We start from the raw sequence: 1,238 nt of genomic DNA, 5'->3' as shown, positions 1-1,238 counted from the left end.
TGATAGGTGCAACAAACTACCGTGGTACACATTTACCTATGCAACAAACCTGCATGTCCTGCACATGTACTCCAGAACTTAAAGTATAAAAAATAAAAATAGCAAAGATTTAGTCTGCTAGAGAAAATCTCTGAGCATTTTTTAATTTAAATATTGGTGTTTTCACAGAGAATTCATGGAGAAGGACAAAAAAAGAATTTCCTTGATTAAAAAAAAAAAACAACTTAATACAAGTATCCTAAGTAATATACCAGTAAAAAGATGAGTTCCAGCTGACGCTAGCTCTAATTTTGGAGCATTATGAAAGATGTACCTCTAAAGCAATGATAGGTAACATATGTTGATATGTCAGGCACTGCTCTAAGCCCTGAATGGTAATTAACTTGTTTAATTTTCACAAAATGAGGAAAATGCTATTACTGCCATTTTACAAATAACATACCCAACACTTTAAAAGTTAAAAACTTGCCTGAGCTCCTGAAGAGTGCTGGAATATGCCAGAACCAGAATTCAGATTTAGGCTTCATAACACTCAAGCCCATATTGGTAACCTCTAGGTTAAAATCCTCTGAGAAAAAAAGGACATCTTACGAGTTAAAAAACCACCAATAAACACTAACAGATAAATTAAAAACATCAGAAAATATCTAGCAATCAAATGTTGGGATTCATGACTAGAGTAACTAGAAAAGGAGACTGCGTAAGAAGCAGAGGAAGGAACAGATGTATACCAAGGGTCGTGGTGATGAAACTGGTATCAGCAAGCCAGATGGAAACCACAGCAGCAATTCAGTGACTCAAAAGGGACCCACAGCTTCCTCTTTGGGTGGAAAATGTAAAGAATAGTGATCTGGGGTAATAAGCTTCTCAGCCAGGGTAACTCAGAAATGTTTACAAGTGAGTATGTCTAGACTTACAGTAAAGATCCATTTTTCTTTCCAAAAGTACTTCTGACACATTCTAGAGGGCAGACTGCAGTCAGAGACATTTTAAATAGAAGAAATGTCTTCAAGTAGTGAGACAGCATCCATACTTCCAGGCTACTGATGGGGTATATATGTAGGAGATGAACTCCTTAGGAAACACAGATTACACATTTACATCTCTAGTTCTTTTATAGTCAGGGACATACTTAACTTTCCTTTCAAGGTTACAGTCGTTTCCCCAAACCACTATAACTTTATATTTCATTCTAATCCATCTCAGGTTATCATTTCCCTACTTCTTGTTATTTAGAT

General features: G+C 35.9%; 1 annotated feature.

Moving 5' to 3' along the window:
• Window positions 970-1,019: an enhancer, noted in NCBI's record as "active region_5935". NCBI's record gives its function as "activates an Ori minimal core promoter by ATAC-STARR-seq in GM12878 lymphoblastoid cells {active_cell/tissue: GM12878}" and the evidence as "EXISTENCE:reporter gene assay evidence [ECO:0000049][PMID:35858748]".

Source organism: Homo sapiens, chromosome 12 (assembly GCF_000001405.40).
Source record: "Homo sapiens chromosome 12, GRCh38.p14 Primary Assembly".
Classification (NCBI taxonomy): domain Eukaryota; kingdom Metazoa; phylum Chordata; class Mammalia; order Primates; family Hominidae; genus Homo; species Homo sapiens.
The sequence above is the reverse complement of the archived record's forward strand: the minus strand, read 5'-3'. Positions and strand labels throughout refer to the sequence as shown.